This window comes from Homo sapiens, chromosome 6 (assembly GCF_000001405.40).
Source record: "Homo sapiens chromosome 6, GRCh38.p14 Primary Assembly".
In the NCBI taxonomy this organism is placed as follows: domain Eukaryota; kingdom Metazoa; phylum Chordata; class Mammalia; order Primates; family Hominidae; genus Homo; species Homo sapiens.
The window spans coordinates 89,735,904-89,761,253 of NC_000006.12; the positions used below are offsets into that span (position 1 = coordinate 89,735,904).

General features: G+C 40.5%; 1 protein-coding gene across 1 annotated transcript in view; it reads right to left on the minus strand.

Moving 5' to 3' along the window:
* The window catches only part of MDN1 (midasin AAA ATPase 1), a 177,297-nt gene that overhangs the window by 93,406 nt on the left and 58,541 nt on the right, over positions 1-25,350 (minus strand). The window contains exons 18-33 of the mRNA NM_014611.3: positions 22,913-23,057; positions 22,352-22,448; positions 20,374-20,487; positions 18,180-18,327; positions 17,609-17,719; positions 15,528-15,679; positions 14,451-14,629; positions 13,640-13,848; positions 13,320-13,466; positions 11,426-11,567; positions 9,589-9,723; positions 9,370-9,508; positions 7,673-7,811; positions 7,247-7,377; positions 4,331-4,475; positions 2,423-2,552 (exon numbers count right to left, since the gene is read on the minus strand). Of these exons, the coding sequence (NP_055426.1) occupies positions 2,423-2,552; positions 4,331-4,475; positions 7,247-7,377; positions 7,673-7,811; positions 9,370-9,508; positions 9,589-9,723; positions 11,426-11,567; positions 13,320-13,466; positions 13,640-13,848; positions 14,451-14,629; positions 15,528-15,679; positions 17,609-17,719; positions 18,180-18,327; positions 20,374-20,487; positions 22,352-22,448; positions 22,913-23,057 (2,263 nt within the window). The remainder of the gene's footprint in view (positions 1-2,422; positions 2,553-4,330; positions 4,476-7,246; positions 7,378-7,672; positions 7,812-9,369; positions 9,509-9,588; positions 9,724-11,425; positions 11,568-13,319; positions 13,467-13,639; positions 13,849-14,450; positions 14,630-15,527; positions 15,680-17,608; positions 17,720-18,179; positions 18,328-20,373; positions 20,488-22,351; positions 22,449-22,912; positions 23,058-25,350) is intronic.

Consider the following 25,350-nt stretch of genomic DNA (forward strand, 5'->3'; position numbering starts at 1 on the left):
CAGCTACTCGGGAGGCTGAGGCAGGAGAATTGCTTGAACCCAGGAAGCAGAGGTTGCAGTGAGCCAAGATTGCACCATAGCAAGACTGTGTCTCAAAAAAATAAATAAATTCATCAAATCTTAACTATCTTTAAAGAAAATCTAAAAACAAAAAGCTTTGTCTAGTTTCCTGTTTTATATTTCACAATTTTTTAAAGAAGTTTTTATGTTGTGCCTTCCTGATCTATTTCTAGAAAATATAACTGCTGTGAATTATTAAGCCACTTCCCTTATTCACCATGCTCCCCTTCAAGGTCTCTAATGCCTCCCTGGGAAGTCTGCTGCTGTGTAGCCTAGAAAGCCTGGAGTAAACAAGCTCCTTAAGGACAAGGTGTGGGCTCAGAGGTAAGTCCTCAGGGCTCCCATGCTTGCATGGAGCACACTGGTGATGCAGCAAGCATGGTCGTGACAGCAACTGAACCCTCTGTCATTCTTATCACAATCCAAATAACAAAGGAATAAGCACAGCCCATAGGAGATGAAAAGGTAACTTCCTGAAGGAATCCAGCCCCGACACAGACCCAAAAGACAAACCATGCTTGGTTAACGATTTCTGTCTTCAGGCCTGCTTTGGTCTTCTGGCTCCTGCCTAGTTCCCAGCACTTAGGGAGGGCAAAGCAGGCGGGTCACTCGAGCCCAGGAGTTCCAGACTAGCCTGAGCAACATGGTGAAACCCCATCTCTCAAAAAAAAAACACAAAAATTAGCCTGGCGTGGTAGTGCATGCCTACAGTGCCAAGTATTTGGGAGACTGAGACAGGAGAATCACCTGGGCCCAGGAGGTCAAGGCCGCTGTGAGCCGTGATTCCACCACTGCACTCCAGCCTGGGTGACAGAGACCTTGTCTCCCCACAACCCCCCAGAAAAGTCTGTATTATACTTCTTCTTTTACTGGAATTCTCACAGTAAATGTGCTGCTGCAAACAGCACACAAGAGTCATGGGTTCTGAGTTCTGAGGCTCTGAGCCTGGGCCTTAGACCAGTATTAGTGGCATCACCTGAGGCTTTGTTAGACAGACAAATTCTCTGCCCCTGCTGAATAAGAAACACTGGGTGTGGGGCCCTGTAAGCTGCACTTCAACAAGCCCTCCAAATGAGTCTGACAACTAACTACAGGCTTAGTCAATTCTTATGCCACTGGGTGACTGTGATATTGGTAGAGACTGTAGAGAAAAAAGGAAGTTCAACAAGGCATGGGGAATTCTGGCCATTCAAGCAGCAGTGTGCGTACCTATAAATGTGGCAGTTCACCGTGGGCCATTCCTAAAAAGAAGTCTTTGCTCAGATGACTAAAGAATCAGTCGTCCCTAAAACACCACAGGTGAGAATGGGTTCCATGCAGATTAGATGCTCTCTACAGCTACTCTACTCATTTTAGAAAATGTGTGGTAGGGCACCTTTAAAAAGTGAAACATAGCCATGAATTCCAATTTCCAAGAAGCAGATATCTTTTTTTTATATTCTTTAAGAATATAAAAAATGATCCAAAAAACTATGTATTTAGTCTTGGAACCAGATCTGGGTTCTAAATTTATTCCATTGAATGTCTAAGATAAATATGCATACATCAAACCAATACAGGCTTCAAAAACAAAAAGAACCATATAGTTAGGAGTGTTGCCTTTTATTGGATATTTTAAATTGTTAATTCTAGATTATGGATACTAATCTATTTTCCTTGTGCCTGAGATTTTTCATAATAAAAATTATTTAATTAATTAATTAATTTTGAGATGGAGTCTGTCGCCCAGGCTGGAGTACAATGGTGCAATCCCAGCCTAATTTTTTTTTTTTTTTTTTGAGATGGAGTCTGGCTCTGCTGCCCAGGCTGGAGTGCAATGGCGCGATCTTGGATCACTGCAACCTCCACTTCCCAGGTTCAAGCGATTCTCCTGCCTCAGCCTCCCAAGTAGCTGGGATTACAGGTGCCCACCACCACACCCAGCTAATTTTTGTATTTTTAGTAGAGATGGGTTTTCGCCATGTTGGCCAGGCTGCTCTCGAACTCCTGACCTCAAGTGATCCGCCCACCTTGGCCTCCCAAAGTGCTGGGATTACAGGTGTGAACCACCACACCTAGCCAAAAAAATTTTTAAATAAAGTGAAAGAATAACATGTTCATTGATGACAACTAAAGAAATGCAGCTGAAATTCTACAGCCATTGTGTCAAGTGGTAATGATGAAAATATGAAGATGGGACACTTTAACAGAAGGTAACAGAATAGTAATATTCTCCTTGTCTACTTTGTTTCATTTACCTATCTCCTTTCTTCTTATAACACACCATATACACACAGGGCTGATGTCCTGTAAGAGATCCCTCAACTCCCAACACAAACCCTTCTATGACCCAATACTACCATCACCACCTGCAAACTCTCACCTTTAGGATCTATTCTGCCCAGACACAATCCTGGACGAAGATTATGACTGATGATCTGAATTAAATCTTCACGGCTTGTGCTTTGAGGGCACCATATTTCTGTAAACCGGTTTCTTAAGGCAGGAGACAGCTATAAGAAACACAAAACTTCAATGTGAATTTTTAAAACTGTAAGGAAAGCTGGAAAACAAGTCTTGAAAGAATGTTGTTAGCTGTTAAGTCCAGCAAATACTACACACTTTTAAAAATTATTTCTACTATCAGATATAATTAATTGAAGATGTACTTTGTCTTGACTCCTTATATTCCATGACACCTTCCAGTATCATCATCACTTTCTTAATAGACGTGGTCCAGAGGCCTTACAGACTAAGTGGTGGAAGCAGGATTCCAGCCAGTCCCAGTCAAATCTGAACTCTTCCCCTCAGGCAAAGATTCTTCCTTTTACTTTACCTTTACTTTGCATCAGGTACCTAAATAATACTTCAGAGAAAATAAACACCTGTCTTCCCACAGAGAAGGGCAGTCTGATGTAGGAGGAAGAAACTTCTTTTACATAGCTCAATGAGAGTGTGATTTTAAAAAGTATATATTCTACCTCTTGAATAACAAGAAATTGTTTAGCCACTCCAGTCTTAGGGCCTTTGCCCCTGTAGATTCCTTTTCCCACCACAAGGTCAGTTGACACTATTCACAAATGTTTGCAATGCCACATAAGCATCATTATTGGTTTGTCTGATTACTTTGTAATTACTTTCCTTTTACTTGATGATCATCTATCTGGTCTACCACAGAGGCCCAGGAATAAAGCATACGTGTGTGTACCTCATCAGTATCATAGACAACCAGTACCTCCGGTGTCCAGCATCCTACCTTGCTCTGCTTGTTAGGCATGCGAAACTAAAAAGTAACTTTCCCTTGGGTAAAAGTCAGCAAGCATTGACTTGAGGAAAACAAGATAAGATAATCTGACAGCCAAGCTAATATACACAAACTTGAAATCAGACCTCTCTGTGGCATTTCTACTTGCCCAGAAGCCAGTTTTTATATTTTGAATGCAATGTATTTTATTCCCTCTCTTCAGAGCATATCTTGAAGCATAGAGACAATTTTCATCTTATGATACTGAGGAAACCTAGGCCCAATATATCATTTCAGCTACCCACCAAATTACCAACACTCTTAATTGTCTTATTTAAGATCAACCCCTCTGTTTCTTCTCATCATCCCTGACCTGTTACATCACTCTCTTCCTAACTTTAACAGACTGGGATCCAACACATAGTGCTGACTTCTCCACTGAAAGGTTTCTTGAGCTGGAAACCAACAAGGTTGTTGGTTCCCAAATATATCTGAACACAACCCTCTGAACATAGGAACTACCCTCTGCCCTTTACTTTATCAGCAGTCAGAAAGTGACACACATAACCCTTACGAGAACAAATAAGCTCCATCTACAAACCAGAAGAGGGTTCCTGGTTGTGACTTTTTTGTCACTTTAAAACCACCCATGAAAGCAGAGGTGTGTTTAAGAAAGTGGACTGTAAAAACAGAGGTTAAACTTAAATTTCAGATCCAACTTTTCTCATCCATAAAACTACAATAATAACTTTCTTGCAGAGCTCCTGTGAGCTTTCTCAGGGTAACATATGTAAAGGGCTAGGCAAAGTGACTGTAACAATGACATTTCAGGCACATACACAAAGTGAGATATCAAATAAGGAGATATTTGTGTCAGAATTTTTTTCTAACCCAATAATTATTTTAAAATATTTTTGAGTTTTTACACTTTTTACCCACTTTTTACCTAACATAAAATTCCAAATCCATTATTACATACTATATTTACGAGTACCAGTAAGCTGAGGTCAAAACCTAGAAAGAAAATGTGCATCAGTAAAGTTTTACCTCCTTTTTTCCAAAGTCACCCCCAGGGTTCATGGTTGCTAGAATACGAAATTTTTTCCCAGCAGTCAACAGCTCTATTTCACTATCCTTGTCCTCTGGACTGCCTTTTTCAGCTAATACCAGAGACTTTTCTACTTCAAGGACACTAAAAGAAAAATTGAAGAACAGTGAAAAGGGCTTATACAATCTTTCTGTTTTACAATCTTCAATGCTCTTTAAAAGAAAAAAAAAAGTTATCTTCTTTCTACTGAATTTTTACTTTAGTTAATGGTTTCCTATCACAAATTTTAAAATGACTCACTATCCCAATTTCTGTGTAATAATGGCTATTTCTGATCAAGAAAAAAAAACTTTTCAACTTATAAACTATTAAGGCATTGGTCTTAAAAATGAATAACTTACAAGAAAACAAATAAATTGCATGCATTATCATAATAGCCAACTACTAGAAAGAACTCAAATATCATTGACTGGTGAATGGATAAACAAAATGTGGTATATCCAATACTATTCGGGACAAAAAGGAACAAACTAATAATACGTGCTGAAATAGGAATGAACCTCAAAACATCAATGCAAAGTAAGAGAAGAGAACTTTTATCTGAAATACCCAGAAAAGAAATCTGCAGAGACAAAAAAGAGATTAATCAGAAATTTAGTGTAATGCACACAAAGGATTCTATTGAATGATGGAAATGTTGTAAAACTGGATTGTAGGCCGGGCGCAGTGACTCTCGCCTGTAATCCCAGCACTTTGGAAGGCCAAGGTGGGGAGATCACTTGAGGCCAGGAGTTGGAGACCAACCTGGCCAAGATGGTGAAACCCCATCTCTACTAAAAATACAAAAATTAGCAGACTGTGCTGGCTCACGCCTGTAATCCCAGCTACTCGGGAGGCTGAGGCACAAGAATCACTTGAACCCGAGAGGCAGAAGCTGCAGTGAGCTGAGACTGTACCACTAAACTCCAGCCTGGGCAATACAGCAGGATGCTGTCTCAAAACAAAACAAACACAAAAACTAAATTGTGATGGTTGCAAAGCTTGAAACCACCTTTGCAAAAATTATGAGTGAGAAAAAAGTCTAACAAAAAGTTATGACAGTAAAAAAAAACACAAAAACCTGTCCTAACTGACTCCATCTTTCTTCTAGCCTCCAAGCTGCCCTTGTTCATTCCTGGGTATAGGCCAAGTAAACTATGGGAGAAATTTAGTTTACAGTTCAACTTTAAAAGAAAAGTAATAGCGCCCCCCCAAAACTAACCCCTCCTTCATAAAACTAACCAAAAGGTTAAAATTACGGCTCAGGACACAGCCAGAGGTCACGAGATTCATAACCTTCCCAATTGCTCCTATAAGATAACATCTCTATTATAAAACCTAAGATTAGTGTTTAAGGTACTTTTCAGACCCTGATTCTGATAAAACGGCTAGCACCACCTGGAATGGAAACCCATACCAAGAAGTGGCTCAACAGGTCTTATGATCCCATGAACTTATTTAGGGCAAAAAGATAGCTCAACTTCCTGTGATTTCAACCCTGTCCCAACAGCATTCCCCATTCTCTAGGCCTCTGACCCTAGCCTCGGCCGGGCACAGTGGCTCACGCCTGTAATCCCAGCACTTTGGGAGGCAGAGGCAGGAGGATCACTTGAGGTCAGGAGTTCGAGACCAGCCTGGCCAACATGGTGAAACCCCATCTTTACTAAAAATACAAAAATTAGCTGGGAGTGGTGACACATGCCTGTAGTCCCAGCTACACAGGAGGCTGAATGAAAAGAATGGCTTGAACCCAGGAGGCAGAGGTTGCAGTGGGCCAAGATCGCATCGCTGCACTCCAGCCTGGGTGACAGAAGTAGACTCTGTCTCAAAAAACAAACAAAAAAACCCTAGCCTCCAGGACGGGTGCAGTGGCTCACATCTATAATCCTAGCACTTTGGGAGGCCAAGGTGGGCGGATCACCTGAGGTCAGGAGTTCAAGACCAGCCTAGCCAACATGGCAAAACCCCATCTCTACTAAAAATGCAAAAATTAGCTGGGCCTGATGGCACACATGTGTAGCCCAGCTACTCAAGAAGCTGAGGCACAACAATCAAACTTGGAAGGCTGAGGTTGCAGTGAGCTAAAATCACACCACTGCACTCCAGCCTGGGATAAAGAGCAAGACTGTGTCTAAAAAAATAAACAAACAAACCCCTATCTTCCAAATTTTTAGGAAGCTGATTTGAGTAATAAACTCCTGTCCTTCCACTTGGCTAGCTCTGCAACTACTAAATTATTTCTCTACTGCAATACCACTAACTCAGTGACTCAGTTCTATGCATATAGCTTGCAAGAAGAACCCATCATGGGATTATAAACTTACTAAAACTCACTGAAATATACATTTTATGATATGTAAACTATACCTCAAAAGAAAAAATGGGTGTTACTACATCAAGATTCATATTGGTCTGAGGTCTGATGATGGCTTATAGCCATGGGTCTAGGATTCTGACTACAGTTCTTTCAAAATATTAAGAGAGTAGGGATATAATTCACTTTAAAAAATAGTTTTGACTTTGGCTCATGTTTTAGCCCTACCATTCCACGATCCCATTGTTCTGATTATTGATAGCAAAAAAAACCTAGAAATTTAGGAAACACTGAATGCTAAAGCCAAAAGACATGGTAATACATCAATAATTTCAAGCATTTACTAAGGTGCACCTATGAGAAGTATTACTGTGCACAAGATTAAATATCTATAAAAATCACATCAATCACCTGAGCCCAGAAGTTTGAGGCTACAGTGAACTATGATCATGACACGGCACTGCAGCCTGGGGTGACAGAGTGAGAACACTGTCTCAGGGAGAAAAAAAAAAATCACACCAACAAAAATATCAAACACAAGGCAAACCTCTCAGGCACGTACCTGTTGAGTCTTTCCAAGACAGAGTCATCGGCCAATGAGATCTCATCCAAGAGGAAAAAGCCGTCCTCCTTCATGGCCTGAACCAGAGGCCCATCATGCCACTCAAAGAGTCTTGATGTGTCAATTTCTTCCTATAATTTGAAAAAGTGGGGAAAATTAAAGGGCAGGTGGCTCCACAGACAATATACATGCAGCTGGCTGGTGTTTCCAGGGGTGAAGTAGGCATTCTGAGGAAAGTAAGAATCTGAGAACAGGAGATAGAACTTGCACACCAGAATGCTTGTGAAGGCCCTTGTAGACCAGAGAAAATCTGCAGATATGCACATTTAACCAAACCAGAACCCAGCTCCAGAAACCCCACCACTAACTCATGCACAGCTAACTGCAGTTTTTTAAAATAACAGGAACACTTGCTGCTGGACAAACCTTGTCGTTTGGCTTTTGTCTCACTGGCCGCAGGCCACCCAGGAAGTCTGATGTCTCCATGTGTAAGTGGCAGCTGACAGAGTATAATTTCTGATTTGCCAAGGCTGCAAATACCTGACAGATAGTAGTTTTCCCACACCTGTTAGAGATGTGCAACTGATTAACAAGGCATGTGTTTCAAATACACATCCATAAACACCCCCCCTCAGCAAAAGAGAAGAACCACTGTGGGAGTCTCACTGCAGCAGTAAACAGTGCTGGCCAATGTGGAACCTCAACCCCAGGCTCATGGCACCCCTCTACACGACTGCACTCTCCCATATTCTTATCCAGAAGGTATGTACTGCACAAACTCCAACCTAGTTCTATCAACAATCACCAGCTGGGCGCAGTGCCTCACGCCTGTAACCCTAGCACTTTGGGAGGCTGAGGCAGGAGAATCACTTGAACCTGGGAGGCGGAGGTTGTGGTGAGCCGAGATCACGCCATTGCAGTCCAGCCTGGGTAACAAGAGCGGAATGCCTTCTTAAAAAAAAAAAAAAAAAAAAAAAAAAAACCACCACCAAGAGAGGGAAAAGAAATCTAATCCTTATAGACTTGACAGACTTTCAAGAGACACTAGTTTATCTCTTCTCTACACACGTATAGAATGAATCTCACTGTTTAAAAGAACTAAATAGACAAAAACTGCCCTCAATGCAATGAAGCAAAAAATCATTCTTGCCAGGTACAGTGTGGCTCATGCCTGTAATCCCAACACTTTGGGAGGCCAAGGCAGGAGGATCACTTGGGCCCAGGAGTTCAAGACCAGTCTGGACAACATAGTGAGACTCCATCTTTTTTTTAGTCAGGGCTTCACTCCTGTTGCCTAGGCTGGAGTGCAATGGCACGATATCAGCTCAGTGCAATCTCTGCCTCCCAGGCTCAAGCGATTCTTCTGCCTCAACCTCCTGACTAGCTAGGACTACAGGCAGATGCCAACACAACCAGCTAATTTTTGTATTTTTAGTAGAGACGGGGTTTTGCCATGTTGCCCAGGCTGGTCTCGAACTCCTGAGCTCAAGTGATCCGCCTGCCTCAGCCTCCCAAAGTTCTGGGATTACAGGCATGAACCACCACAACCAGCTGAGACTCTGACTTTACAAAAAAATTTAAAAATTAGCCAAGTGTGGTGGTGCATGCCTGCAGTCCCAGCTACCTGGGAGGCTGAGCCAGGAGGATCACTTGAGTCCAGAAAGTCAAGGCTGCAGTGAGCCGTATCGCACCACTGCACTCCAGCCTGGACAACAGAGTGAGACCCCATCTCCAAAAATAATAATAATAAAGCCATTATTTTCCATTAACAAAGAACCTAGTCTGAAGGTAGAGGAAACTAAACAGTAACAGATCTTAGTTTCTTTTTTTTTTTTTTAGGGTACATGTGCAGAATGTGCAGGCTTATTACATAGGTATACATGTGCCATGTTGGTTTGCTGCACCCCTCAACTCGTGATTTACATTAGGTATTTCTCCTAATGCTATCCCTCCCCCAGCCCCCGACCCACTCTTAGTCTCTTCTTAAAAAAAAAAAAAAAAAAGAAAAAAGAGGAAGGAGGAAAGAAGGGGGGATTAATACTTTCATGAGTTCTTCAGTGATAACTCAAGTAATCCTATGGAATTGAAATGAACCCTCATGAGTCACTGTCACAGATCTTTACCCAGTGTCTCCAACCAGCAGCACAGGTTCACCAAATTCCAATGCCCTTCCCACTAGCATCGCGAGTCTCCGCATGCCCTCAGTCCACACGATATGGCCAAAGTTACACTCCAATGTGGATATCTGAGTAGACAATTTACCTATCCAAGGAAAAATAAATATTTAGATTCTAATGAGTACAACTCAAATCATATTCCTCTAGGGATTTTGGCCTACTCACCCAGCAATTTTAGAACATTTTCTTTGGAGAAAAGAGATTGAGGACACAATTTTTTCTTGAAATGTTTCTCAAGGACTTCTTGAATCACATCAATTTCCTCCTGCTTCCTGACTCGACCTGCCAGAAGCATATAACCTGGGAGGAGGAGGAGGAAAAGGAGGAGAGGAATCATCAAGTGTCTACCGGGAACACCAAGGGATATGGAGAATATGAAACAATAGAAACTCTCATACGCGGCTGGTGAGGTAGAAATCTGAAGAACTAGGACAGCCTATTACAATTAACCATATACCTGCCCTATGCCTCAGCAATATGACTTCTAGTATCCCCAAACACCAATGAACATGTGTGTGTCGAAAGACATAAGCAGGAATGTTCAGAGAAGCTTTGTTCATAACTAAAAAATTAAAATGATCCAGATGTCCATAACCAAGAGAATGGATAAACAAACTATGGTGTCGTCATACAGTGGATTACCACATAAAAAGAAAAAGAAAAAAAAGAATGAAGTCCTGATACACATAATGGCATGACTGAATCTCACATCAGGTTTAGTGAAAAACCCAGAACCCAAAAAGTACATACTGCATGGTGTCAGCTAGGTGAAACTCAAGGACAGGCAAAATGCTGTTCAATCAGATTAGTAGTGATAATCAGACAGAAGTCAATTAGTAGTGACAGTAGTCAGGGTAGTGATTACCTCCACTGTCAAGAGACCTACTGAGTTATTGGAAATATTCTAAATCTTGGTCTAGGTGATACTTTACATGGGAAAATGCTTTACTGTTTGTTACACCTCACTAAAAAAGTTTGCCGGGCATGGTGGCTCATGCTTGTAATCCCAGCACTTTGGGAGGCTGAGGTGGGCAGATCACAAGGTCAGGAGTTTAAGACCAGCCTGGCCAACATGGGAAACACCATCTCTACAAAAAATACAAAAATTAGCCAGGCATGGTGGCGCTTGCCTGTAATCCCAGCTACTTGGGAGGCTGAGGCAGGAGAACTGCTTGAACCAGAACCCAGACCCGGGAGGCAGAGGTTACAGTGAGCTGAGATCGTGCCACTGCACTCCAGCCTGGGCTACAGAGGGAGACTCTATCTCAAAAAAAAAAAAAAAAAAAAAGAAAGAAAGAAAGAAAGAAAGAAAGAAAGAAAGAAAAAAAGTTTTTAAAAAAGTATTCCTCTATGTAAATATTCTTTACAAGTAGAGAAAAAATCTCTTGTACTAGTTTTACATACTCTTCTTACTTATTAACTAGCCCATTAATCAATCATCAGCACTTTTCAAATCAGAAGATTCCAAAACACTTTGTATCCTATCATCAGCACTTTTCAAATCAGAAGATTCCAAAACACTGTGTATCCTATCACAAACAGTAACAAATTTTTCCCATGCATTAAAGGAAAACAACAAAACCTGAGTCTCAGGTTATATAATTTTTTTCTCTCAGAATGCTGATGTTTTCTGACAAATCAGCTTTCTGTATGTCTGTAAAGCACTAGCCAGACTACCTGTGGTGACACTGCAGAAAAATGGCCCACAAAGCTACCATCAACCATTTGCCTAACTCCCAAAGAGGCTATGTCCATATCCTGACTCCCACATGTGGCTACCTGAAGCAAAGAGTAAGAAAACCTTAGCAACCAGTCCTTATTAGCATGGAGGCCTGCAGGAATAAGATCACTTACAAAAGCTGTTAGAACTGGAGGGAAACAGGCTCTCTGGAATACCTAGTCAAATGTATGTATCAATCACAATTTGAGGCAAGATTTGTTTTAATAAAAAGTTTGACATTTAACATAACTATATATTGAGAGCATTTGATTGAAAACACACCATCATTGGCTAAATGCTGTAGCCAGTCATACTCCTTCTCGGTCGGCTCAGCCAATCTGTATCTTTCAGCCCATCGGAACAGATCACGAAGGGTGATGAAGCCCTGCTTTCCAGCAAACACTGAAGAACTTCTGCGATAGGACTGTTGAAGTATCAAAACAAATGAAAAGGGGCATCAGCTGCAATGCATGGTAAGTTTTTAGTACAATGCATATAAAATTCATAACAAATTTATGCTCCCATTTAAATGATTTCATTCCACTGAATAAGATTAATTTTTTGGCCGGGCGTGGTGGCTCAAGCCTGTAATCCCAGCACTTTGGAAGGCCAAGGCGGGCGGATCACAAGGTCAGGAAATCGAGACCATCCTGGCTAACATGGTGAAACCCCGTCTCTACTAAAAATACAAAAAATTAGCCGGGCGTGGTGGCGGGTGCCTGTAGTCCCAGCTACTCCAGAGGCTGAGGGAGGAGAACCGCATGAACCCGGGAGGGGGAGCTTGCAGTGAGCCGAGACTGCGCCACTGCACTCCAGCCTGGGCGACAAAGCGAGACTCCGTCTCAAAAAAAAAAAAAAAAAAAAAAGATTAATTTTTTAATGAAAATAACTTGTAATATTCTGAGGAAAAATGTTCAAATTCATGTTTAAATTAAGAACATAAAATGGAATTCCACATTTCTTATGCCACATAGAAAAAAGATGATTAATAGTAATGCAAATGGGCGCAGTGGCTCACACCTGTAATCCCAGCACTTTGGGAGGCCAAGGCGGGCGGATCACAAGGTCAGGAGATCGAGACCATCCTGGTCAATATGGTGAAACCCCGTCTCTACTAAAAAGACAAAAAATTAGCCAAGCCTGGTGGTGCACGCCTATAGTCGCAGCTACTCAGGAGGCTGAGGCAGGGGAATTGCTTGAACCCGGGAGGCGGAGGTTGCAGTGAGCTGAGATAGCGCCACTGCACTCCAGCCTGGCGACAGAGTGAGGCTCTGTCTCAAAAAACAAACAAAAAGTAATGCAAATGGTGGCAAAGATGCAGGAAGATTAGTGAAACAATGTGGAACCATAATGGTAGGAGTCTTCATTATTATTAGCTTTCTAAAAAGAAGTTTGACAATGTATACTTTCTGATAAAGAAAACTTTTAACCCCATAAGATAAATGGAATTTTTAAAGATCAGCTGTAGCTTTGCAGTTGACTAGGGGGAGCCACAAAGAATGGATCTCTTTAATTATGTCCATTCAAGGACTATATCCATTTAAAAACCAAAAACCAGTTTTCCCTAAGCCAAATTACATTCTAAACAAAATGCTTCAATATTATACACAAATACAAAATCCTCATATGTAAATATCAGAAAAATTTTAATGATGTAAAATTGTTGATTGATTAAAAAAAAAAACTAAAAATATATATTATTGGGAAGCATTTAAAAGACCTCTACTTGAAGGCCAAGAACTGTGGTTCACACCTATAATCCCAAAACTTTGGGAGATCAAGGTGGGTGGATCCCTTGAGCCCAGGAGTTCGAGACCAGCCGGGGCAACATGGCGAAACCTTGTCTCTACAAAAAAAAAATGTAGCCGGGCATGACGGTGCACATCTGTGGTCCCAGCTACTAAGGAGTGAGTAGTCAGAGATGGGAGGATCACCTGAGCCCAGGAGGTCAAGGCTGCAATGAGCTATGATTGTGCCACTACACTCCAGCCAGGAGAGTAGAGTGAGACTGTGTCTTGCAAAAAATAAATAATAAAAAAATTAAAAACAATAAAAAATAAAAAAAAATCTCTACTTGGAAAAATACATCAACAGACAGATTCTTTTTTCTAACAAAAGAAGCCATGAAATTTTGATCACCAAGTATAATCAATACATTCCATTTGAAACTAAGTACCTGAAGATCCAGCATGACTTTAACCAACTTGCTGCAATAGGAGGGTGGCAAACTACACCGCTTGTGCAAGATTGTTTCCAACTCGGAGCTAGGTAACTCATCAAAGTGCAATTCCACAAACCGATTCCTGAAGGCTCTAGAAAGGACCTAGACAAAGCACAGGAAGAATGCAGTAAAAGGTGCCTTTTAATTTCCAATATGGAGGCTCTGACATTCACCATAAAATATTAAAGGAGAAGTAAAAACATTTCATTCTTACTACGAAAAATCTACTATCTGATGTGTTAACAAATTGAAGGAAGGAGACAAATGCTACATACCTTTCTGCCTCCATAAAGTCCTGGGGGATTTTGGGTGGCAAAAAGCATAAACCGAGGGTGTGCTTTAACAACTTCCTGTGTTTCTGTTACTAGCAATTCACGGTTATCATCCAACAGCCTATTCAGCGCCTCTAACACATCAGTAGGGGCCAAATTTAATTCATCTAAAATAATCCAATAGCCTTTTCTCATGGCATCAATAAGAACACCTAGGAAGAAACAAACAGCAAGAACTAGTGTATAAATCAGTACAAAGTTTTAAAATGCATTATGTACAAATCAACAAATCCTAGGTTATCATCAAATTTCAAAGCAAATTACTTTCTGTAGCTAGTCTTGCCTCAAAACAAATTATGACACTGCAGATCAAGGAGGAACAATTTTCAATTAAAATAGTCCCTTTTTTCCCCACAGAAAAGAAGCCAAGGCTGAAAATACCTCATATTTCTTGTGTAATCTTTCCCCTGCAGTCTAATTTCATTTAAATCACCACATTCTGTTGACTATTCCCAACTTCCTTTTGGCTAACACTAACCCCATTCTCTGAATTCCTAGAAAATAAAGCAGCAGTTCAATTCCCCTCTTGAAAATTGGCCCTAGTCCTGTATACAGCCAGCAAGATTAGCAGAACCTAAAGAAAGCCAGCACCTTATGCATCACCCCTTAACTATCTTAGCTCAGGCATCAAGAAAAGCCGGCTGTTACAGCAAAGGTCCATGTGCCTCAATTGGAAAGGATGAAGAATATTACTTAAGGAAATGTGTGTGAAAGAATAAACACCTATGTCCATGGAATGGAATCTTAACCCTACCTTCCTTAAAGACAAGCTTCCCTGAGGAGTCAGACGTGTAACAACCAATGTACTCCTGAATATCCGTGTGTTCGTGATTATTAATACGCACACAGTGGTTGCCAGTAGCTGCAGCCAGCCACTGGATCAGGCTTGTTTTACCAACTGATGTCTCTCCCTGAATCAGCACTGGATAGGTTCTGTAAAAGATTAGCCAATTAAGCAACTTAAAACAACAAAAAATTACAAAGCTGAGAAACCAGAACTGAGTATTGGTTTGTTTTGTTTGACAAAGGGTTTCACTCTGTTGCCCAGGCTGAAGTATGGTGGTGCAATCATAGCTCACTGCAGCCTCGACCTCCCAGGCTCAAGTGATCCTCCCACCTCAGCCTCTTGAGTAGCTGGGACTACAGACATGCACCACCAAGCCCAGCTAAATTTTGTATTTTTTGCAGAGACAGAGTCTTGCCGTGTTGCCCAGGCTGTTCTCAAAACCCTGGGCTCAAGTGATCCGACCGCCTTGGCCTCCCACAGTGCTGGGATTACAGGCATGAGCCACTGCACCTGGCCAAGTATTATTTTGGTTTTTTTTTTTTAAAAGAATGACGACATCATTTAACAGCATCATTAAAAGAGCATTTTTTTTTCCTTTTTTTTCCCCTTTTTACATTTCTGGAAAATGCAAGAAGCAGAAGAACATTTTTATTCCTATACACTGAGAAGTATCTTTGTAAACATTATTCCTCAAAAAATACTAAGGAAAGCAATTCCAACTATGCTGGCAACATTTGTAAGAAACTGTAAGTAGAACTTTTAGCCATTTACTGAATAATCTGTGGTATTTATCAGCAAAATAACAAAAGATAACTTTAAAGATAGATAAAATCATCTGCATCCATAGTGCTCCCTCCAAAGTTGCACAACTAGAAACAAAGTTTTCTACCAGGAAAAAGTTATAGTACTGACTTTTGTAAGTAATTGTTCAGTTGGCCAATGAATAAGAATAAAGCTCTTTGAAAGTTAAGGAAGTTAGACCAAAATGTCATCAATGCCTATGCCTGTATCAAGTTCGGGGCAGCGAGAAAAAAGCCCACACACCCTGCAGAGACAACTCGGACTATATCTCTCAGGTTCAGCTTCACAGAAGATGTCAGAATGTACGTCTCATCTATTGTAGGCTCCTTGTCTCCCACCGCAATCCAGTAGCCTTCAACCTGGATAAGCCGACCTCCTTTTGGCTCTGGAATAGGCTGAAAGACACAGAAGTTCAAGGAATAACCCACAGTTGTACATTCTTTCAGAGAAGGGCATAAAGTAGGAAAACAGCCACTTGTTGAACAAGCTGTCTTGTTCTGCATACTTTCAACATTAAAACTGGATGAAATATGAACATAAAATTATGAGGAATGAGAACAAAATGGTGTTATATATTGGTTTTAAAACTGAAGTGGAGTAGGTGGGTTTGGAAAAAAGCTGAATCAAAACAAATTCCCAGAAGGTTTATGTACCAGTTCTCTTCTCTCACATATCAAAATGCCCACTCCAATTATTTTTATCAAAAACATGAATTTCATATAAACCATGTTCCCCGAAAAAGGGCCAGTGTTGTAGTAAGGAAGGAGGTTTTGCACTATTATACTCTGGATTGCCTAGAAGACATTAAAAGTAAACCTGACTTTTCAGAGCAACTAGCCCATTAAGGATAATATTGTGGATGATGGCATCACTTTGCTGAGATATGGTTTAAGTTATTAGTTTCGATTATACAAATTCCCATTTTTATAAGTAAAAAAATGGTTAAATGGTGGTCAAATCTATAACTATGGAAAAGTACTCTTCTAGAGCATTTGGTCCCCAGATTTCAAGCTACACGTCTAGGCCCTGCTTTTAAGGCCTCCTCAGTTGAGTTGAGAAGCAATAGGGGGAGGGGAGGAAGGATCTTTTTAAGTTTCTATCACACCCTGAGGCATACACACACAAAAAGACCAACTGGAAGAGACTGGTATTTGATTACAATAATGGTAAAAGCAAACCTGAGTCTTTACTCAATGTTTTTACAATTTACCGAAAGTATTTACGCATGTGTTACTTGTACGATTTTTTAAAAGGCTGAGTCCAAAGAAACTCCAAGTCCCAAGGGCTCTCTCTTCCTAATGAATAAGCAATCAACAAGTAAACAAGCCAATTTACATGTTGATTGTGAGCAAGTTTCTCTCAGCCTCTTTCAGTCCCATGCTATTCTGTAATTTCCTGCCAAATCCAAAACGGCTATTGTTTCTAACAGTGCCCCCACTACTGCCTCCTCAAAAAAGACCCAACCATCAATCAGAAGGTATAGATTATACCTAACTGTGTAGTTAAACTATGCAAATAGTGAAACTATGGTGTACCCATCCAGTGAAATGCTATGTGGCCCTTAGAAGGCATGTCACAATGAACTCTGGTACAAAAACAAAAATATATCCAAGATTCAGATAGGTTAAAAAGGAAAGCTACAGAATATTCTTATGGGCCGGGCACGGTGACTCACGCCTGTAATCCCAGCACTTTGGGAGGCCGAGGTGGACGGATCATGAGGTCAGGAGTTCGAGACCAGCCTGGCCAACATGATGGAACCCAGTCCCTACTAAAATTACAAATATTAGCTGGGCATGGTGGCATGCGCTTGTAATCCCAGCTACTCGGGAGGCTGAGACAGGAGAATCACTTCAGCCACGGAAGGGGAGAATGCCGTGAGCTGAGATTACACTACTGCATTCCAGCCTGGGCAACAGAGCAAGACTCTATCTGCAAAAAAAAACAAAACAAAACAAAACAAAAAAACAATATTCTTATAAGACAGTCCCACTTACATTAAACGCATATTACAATTTTTTACAATTTTACAATTTACCTCAATAAATCAACATATACATATCAAAATTTGGATATGTAAGAAAATAAAATATATACATTATACAATTTATCTGGAAAGATTATCCACAGTATTTAAATCTCCAAAGAGCACGCTTATTGGAAACTTTCACCATCTAAACATATGTTTCTGTAATGTTTAAACTTTTTGCAACAGATTACCTTTATAATTAAAAAGTTATGTGAAAAAAAAAAAACCAAACAGCTGAAAATTTGGTAATTCAGCCTTTCAAGTGTAACAAGTCAAAAATAACAAAAGAACATACCTGCTTCAGCAGACTCTTGACATTGCCAGGGACAATGTGTTGACAGATGAGCTTCTGAACTATTGGGTGTGATGCCCTGTCAAGCTGTGTTAAGAAACCCAAACAAAAACCCTAGAAAGAAAAGACAAATATGCATAATGCTAAATAACCTTCTGCAATACAACCAAACTTATTTCCAGAACAAAATTTAACCTCTTGGGTGATGCTGCTTCCCAACTTTTAAATATAGTAAGGTGGTAGATAAAGGGAAGGGTAGGCCAGGCACGGTGGTTCATGCCTGTAATCTCAGCACTTTGGGAGGCCAAGGCAGGAGGACAGCTTGAGCCCAGGAGTTCGAGACCAGAGTGGGAACACAGTGACACCCTGTCTCTATGTATAATTAAAAATAAAAATTTTAAAATAAAAAGTAAAATATTTAATTTAAAAGGGCAAGGTAAATCTGGTAAGAGGTATTATGGGCTGATCTGACTAACTGGAAAGCACAGGCAACCTGGCATATGCATCCCTATTCCTTCCTTCCCATGAACCCATCCATTAAGCTCATATCCAGTCAAAGAGACTTCAGAAAGACCTCATAGAGTGAGCGCTGAATGTTGCCACATGGATTGGAGGCTGCAAATCGCAGGGCCCGGCACAGAGTCCGAAGGCTGTAGTGAGGTCTATGGCCAGTGCCATCCACCAGTTTGGTCCCAGACTCTTTCCGCAAAGCTGTGTAGAAGCTACAAATAGAATAAAGGTCAGGCAATTTTATTTACTAATAAGTATCCAGTATTATCAATTCTCTACAGAAAACCCAAAGGACATTTTTTAGATCAGAAATGATCATGCACACAACTTCCTGGGGCATGCATCAAAATATCTTAGTCTCTTTTAAACCTACTTTTCACATACTCAGAGATATCTTTCAAAATAAAAAATGAACACCTATCTATTTCCTTGGGGAAACTGGGAAGTGCAATGTGCAATTCCTCTAGCAAAAAGGTACTGATAAAGAGAGGTGAGAAGCTTCTGTGTTCCAGAGTCTGTTCAAGCTTAAGGGACAAAGAAAGTTCCTATGCAATCAAAAATGGGGATGAACAAAGACATGGCAAACAACGCATGGTGTTTTGAAAGGCTACGAATATGGCTATAATTAGTACTGACAAAACGTTAAAAAGCAGGAGGATACGATGGCCATTACTATTGTCACTACCACACTTTAGAAGTCCAGATGATGACAGGATGGGAAAAGTTTCAGACTGAAACATGAAGGTCTTGCACTTTGTGAAATTCATGATCAATTAGCACCACAAGATCAAATGAAACCAAGTATGCATGCATCACAGATGAAATTCAAGTTCCTGCCCAAATGAGCTTTATCTTGCCTCTTTGCTACCTAACAAAATATTTTTGTAGATAGCAAAAATACACAAATATTTTCAAAATATTTTCAAAATATTTCAAAATATTTTTGTGTAGAAAGAACCTATGTTTTGGAACTGAGTTTTTAATATATGGAATATATACTACTTGTACTATCAGTATTTTATAAGTGCCTAATTTTATCCTTTATCTACCTCTTTAGATAAAATAAGGCACTTATAAAAGTTTACCTTTAGCATCTGGAATCTTAACTATACGTATTTACACTTTTGTCCAAATATTCTTGGCTACCAAAAAGTATTCCAATTTAGGGTGTGTTGTGGTAAACCATTCTGAAGCATTCTAAACACATGCCTTGTTGACTAATCTATTTAATACAGGACTTCAGGACCAGGTGCTGTAGCTCAACCCTGTAATTCCAGCACTTTGGGAGGCTAAGGCTGGCGTATCACTTGAGGCCAGGGGTTTAAGACCAGCCTGCACAACAAAGCAAAGCTCCTGTATCCAAAAAAAAAAAAAAAAAAAATAGAACTCCAAGTCTTCATTTTCTTACACCCTACTCAGCTTTATATGTTTTCACTTATCACAACCTAAAATTACAGTACCTGACTCCTCTAGAATTAAAGCTCAATGAGAAGAACCAGGATTTTTGTCTGCCTTACTCATAGCTATAACCACAGCACCAGGGCACTCAATAAGTATTTGTATTAAGGAAGAGAAAAAATACACAAACACACAGTAAAACATTAATATCACCCTATTTCAATCCTTTTACATGTTGTATTTCTTTCTGGAGAACACACAATTAAGTTACTGGCCCAGAATGACACAATTAGTTTCTCATAGAACCAATACTAGAATTGAGGTTGTCTGACACAAAAGATTGCATGTTGTCCATATGGCATACAAAAAACAGGAATAACAGTCTCAAATTAAAGCACAAGCCACGTAACTACTCTATTATTTATTAGGCTAAGCTTCCATTAATTCCAAACCTGACACAATCAATTATATTAACCCTTTTCTCCTTACATCCCACATAGCTAGTATAAATATTGCAAATAGAAAAGCAACCTTCTTCAAGACAGATTCAAAACGCAAGCCATGTACATCTCCAAGAATTCAAACCCTCAGCTATGAATATAGAGGTAATCAGGAGAGCATTATCTGATGGTTTATATCTTCTCATAGGTAATGATTCATAGCTTTCTATGTAATTTCCTTAGAAAAACCTAAAGGAGTTCATATCAGGTTCCAACTTTACAAGAGAATCTAAATAATAATCCTGCCATCAGTTTTCTCAAGTTAGAAGTAAAAAAGAATACATATTTGTGTGTGTGCACGAGTAGCACATTTTCATGTTCAGAGAAAGAGCTTATAAAGACATACAAAAGGGAACCTACTTTATGATTCCTTGCACTGTATTCTTGTTCACACTCAATCCTTTCAGATAATCTACAATAAGAACCTGTAAGTCTTCTTTGCTTTCTAATTCTTCTACATAAAGTTCTGTGAACCTGTAAAACAATACATAATAAACACTTTTTAGGAAGTTAATATAACTATGTTGACAATAGAAAAACATGAAACAGAAGAAGCTATGTCAGCTCATTTTAACTGCTTGTAGTATAAAATGTCTTTCAACCTGATATAGAAACTTAGCATAATTAAAGGATAATGTAACCATTACCAAAAATATACCATTATTGCTTCTTCTATGCAATAAGTCTTCTACGTATAGTCCTTACAAGAAGAAAAAGATACAAAAGCCGGGTGCGGTGGCTCACGCCTGTAATCCCAGCACTTTGGGAGGCCGAGGCCGGTGGATCACGAGGTCAGGAGATGGAGACCATCCTGGCTAACATGGTGAAACCCCGTCTCTACTAAAAATACAAGAATTAGCCAGGTGTGTTGGCGGGTGCCTGTAGTCCCAGCTAATAGGGAGGCTGAGGCAGGAGAATGGCGTGAACCCAGGAGGCAGAGCCTGCTGTGAGCCGAGGTTGCGCCACTGCACTCCAGCCTGGGCGACAGAGGGAGACTCCATCTCAAAAAAAAAAAAAAGATACAAAAATAAGAATTAATTATCCTCATTTTCAAGTGTTTTTTATCATAATCGCCTATTTAAAAAAATAAGTGCAATAAAAAACAAGCCCCCTCATCATCAAAGACAAAATGGTTGAAGAGAAAACAACTACTTTAATGTAGTTTCTAAAGCTTCCCTAACAAGCTTTTATTGCTTTATAATGAAGAGAGAGGATCTAATAAAGTTACTATTTTAAAATTCAAAATGAAGTAAACGGTTACCAACAATAAATCTGGTCATTTAATTTATTTTTTCCCAAATGTTACATACATAAAACACCAACAACTAAGTACCTTGTTCATGTCAGTGCTTAGTGGCGAAAAATAAAAGAAACTTTAAAGGCCTTTTCAAATCATTAGCCTCACCCAAAGAGGACTGTGTTCCTAAAATATGCGTATACTGGTATATGTTTTCCTGTTATATCGTGTTATGAAATTTTTCTAATAGCCAAAAGATTACCTGAGGAAGGAAAGATTTTTATTTTCAACAATATCCACTGTCATACTAACACAAAGGGAAAAATTCTCCAGTGTTCTGAAGATTCCCATATGCCTACCACCTACAGAGAGCAGAGGAATATGACAAATAAGGTAATAAAGATTCCTCTATCAGCGGCAATTTCAAGCATTGCTCTAAAGTCCGGTTACATTAATATTACCAATCTATAAATAAAGAGAATCTAAAAACGAAGTCTTGGTAATCCCAGCACTGTGGGAGGTCGAGGCAGGCAGATCTCTTGAGCCCAGTGAGAGACCAGCCTAGGCAACATGGCGAAATCCCACGTCTGCTAAAAATACAAAAACTTGAGGCCGGGCGCACTGGCTCACACCTGTAATCCCAGCACTTTGGGAGGCTGAGGCAGGCAGATCACAAGGTCAGGAGTTCAAGACCAGCCTGGCCAACATAGTGAAACCCAGTGTCTACTAAAAAAAAATAGAGAAATCAGCCAGTCATGGTAGCATGCACCTGTAGTCCCAGCTACTCAGGAGGCTGAGGCAGGAGAATCGCTTGAACCCAGGAGGTGGAGGTTGTGGTGAGCCAAAATCACACCACTGCACTCCAGCCTGGGCAACAGAGCAAGACTCTGTCTCAGAAAAAAAATAAAAAAATAGCTGGGTGTGGTGGCATGCACCCATAATCCCGGCTATTCAGGATTCTGAGGTGGGAGGTGGGAGGTGGGAGGACTGCTTGAACCGGGGACTTGCAGTGAGCCAAGATCACGCCACTGCACTCCAACCTGGGCAACAGAGCAAGAACCTGTTGCAAAAAAGGAAAGTCTCCAAGAACCAAACCCTCACCTGTTTCTTATTCCTGGTGGGAGATTTCTTTTGCCTACATCAGTTGCTGGATTCATACAGGCAAATAAACGGAAGTCAGGATGCCGAACCAGTGGCTCTGTTAAGAGAAAATTACAAATTCTCAACAAAGGTATGATTATCTAATTCCACAGAACCCCAGGCCCAGCCAGCCTGATGCTGGCTGCTCACACCATCCTTGTCTTTTCTGAAACCCCACTGAAATAACTTTCCAGACCTATGTATTCAATCTAATCTTATACTGCAGTCTTTTGCGGTATGTTTATTCACTGTTATTTATCTTTTATCAACCATTCACCTGTTATTTTATAAGTGTGTCTATTATCCACAACTCAAACACCTTGTCAAATTATATTATTCTTCTTTGCATTCCCCATACCACCCAACACTTTAATGCACTTTGCAGAAAATTAATATCTAAAGAATGAACAAATTCCATTGGGAGGCCCATGTCATCCTTCTAACAACAACAACAAAAAATCTCACTCTAAAGTGGCCACAGGGCTTGACACCAAGTCAAATCCCAAGGGATTCAAGTGCTACCTGTGTCTCCTCGATCCAGCAACACCAGGGATCCAGAAGATCCTTCAAGCAAACCACTCAGACATTCTAGTATTTCTGGAGCAGCCAAGTTAATCTCATCCAACAAGATCCACTCTCCTTTCTTTACAGCCTGAGCTAATGTACCCTAGAAAAAGATAAAATAAAATGTTAACAATGTGTCAAATAAAGGCACACTTGCCAAGAACAGTTATGCAAGCAGGGTTAGAAATAGAGGCGGGGCAAATCTTTCCTACTTGATGGGCCTATACTTTAACTGGCTGACAGCAGATAGGCAGAGTTAAGGCCAAGTTAATTTTTTAAATGTCCAAAAAGGTCAAGGGAATATCTTTGAGCCTAACAGAGAGATGCAATAAACTAAATCCTCTCATTATGTGGATGGTCAGGTAAATAGCTTACATTGTAGTCAGGTCTTTAAAGGCACCCAAGTGACTATTAAAACTCAAAATAAATATAGGGTCAGGCTATACCAAGATTAGACAAATGTCTAAATCCCAGAGTGTTTAGTGATTGTCATACACTGCCTTTCACACCTACTGAAGATTAAAATGCAACATCCCTTGGCTTTAGTACACTGGTGTTATCTCTTCAAATTCTATTTCCTAGATTTAATTGGTTTTAGAAATAATCCTATTAAGAATAATTCTGGGCTGGGTGTGGTGGCTCATGTCTGTAACCCCAGCACTTTGGGAGGCTGAGGTGGGCGGATCACTGGAGGTCAGGAGTTCGACACCAGCCTGACCAACATAGTGAAACCCCATCTCTACTAAAAATACAAAAAATAGCCGGGCGTGGTGGCACGCACCCTTAATCCCAGCTACTCAGGAGGCTGAGGCAGGAGAATCGCTTGAACCTGGGAGGCGGAGGTTGCAGTGAGCTGAGATCCTGCCATTGCACTCCAGCCTGGGTGACAAAAGCAAAACTCCGTCTCAAAAACAAAAAAAGAATAGTTCTGGGGCCCGGGGCAATGGCTCATGCCTGTAATCGCAGCACTCTGGAAGGCCAAGGTGGGTGGCTCACCTGAGGTCAGGAGTTCAACACCAGCCTGGCCAACATGGCAAAACCCCGTCTCTACTAAAAATACAAAAATTAGCTGGGCGTGGTGGCACACACCTGTAATCCCAGCTACTCCAGAGGCTGAGGCAGGAGAATTGCTTCAACCCAGGAGGCAGAGGTTGCAGTGAGCCAAGATTGCACCACCGCACTCCAGCCTGGGTGACAGAGTCAGACTCTGTCTCAAAAAAAAATAATAATAATAATTCTGATGACCAAATTTTCCACACCCATAATGTATGGTTGAGTAGACCTTCTCTGTTACTAAAACATCACCAAGTAAGACTCCTGCTTCCTCTAGGGCTTCATCTAAGGACTGTCACAGAAACAAACTTTTTTTAAATGACCAAGCCACAAATATTTAACCAAGTTGATCCTTCCTACAGGGTCACAGGACAGCAAACAGTAGAGATGTCCATGCCCTGGGATTAAAATTGGGGCAATGAAGTGAACGGGTCCAAATCCCTCTCTCACATCCACACACTCTTTCCCCGGAGACACACATGGTGAGAGAAAGAATCCAGAGTTCACTAGCTGTCATCAATTGCATCTTTAAAAATAGTAATAGATCCAGCAATCTCACTTCCAGGTATTCCCAAAAAAAATCTGAAAACAATATGTCGAAGGGATGTCTGCAATCCCCTGTTCATTGCACCACTATGCACAATAGTCAAGATATAGAATCAACCTATGTCTCCATCAACAGATGAATAAAGAAAATGTTGTATATATACATATATACAAACAATGGAATCCTATGGAATCTTATTTGGCTTGAAAAAAGAAATAAATTTTGTCATTTGCTATGACATAAATAGAACCAGAGAATATTATGCTAAGTGAAACAAGCCAGGCACAGAAAGACAAGTATTGCATGTTCTCACTTATATGTGAAATCTAAAACAATGGAACTCAAAGAAGCAGCCAGCAGAATGGTAGTTAGCAGAGGCTGGAGAGTTAGGGAGTACAGAGTAATGAAAGTACAAAGCCTTGGCCAGGCGCGGTGGCTCACGCCTGTAATCTCAGCACTTTGGGAGGCCAAGGCTGGCAGATCACGAGGTCAGGAGATCAAGATCATCCTGGCTAACACGGTGAAACCCCGTCTCTACTAAAAATACAAAAACAAAAAATTAGCCGGGCATGGTGGCATGCACCTGTAGTCCCAGCTACTCAGGAGGCTGAGGCAGGAGAATGGCGTGAACCCAGGAGGCAGAGCTTGCAGTGAGCCGAGACTGTGCCACTGCACTCCAGCCTGGGGGACAGAGTGAGACTCTGTCTCAAAAAAAAAGAAAAGAAAGTACAAAGCCTTAATTAGACAGAAAAAAATAAGCTTTCTTCCCTTTGAGATATATATTGCATAGCATGGC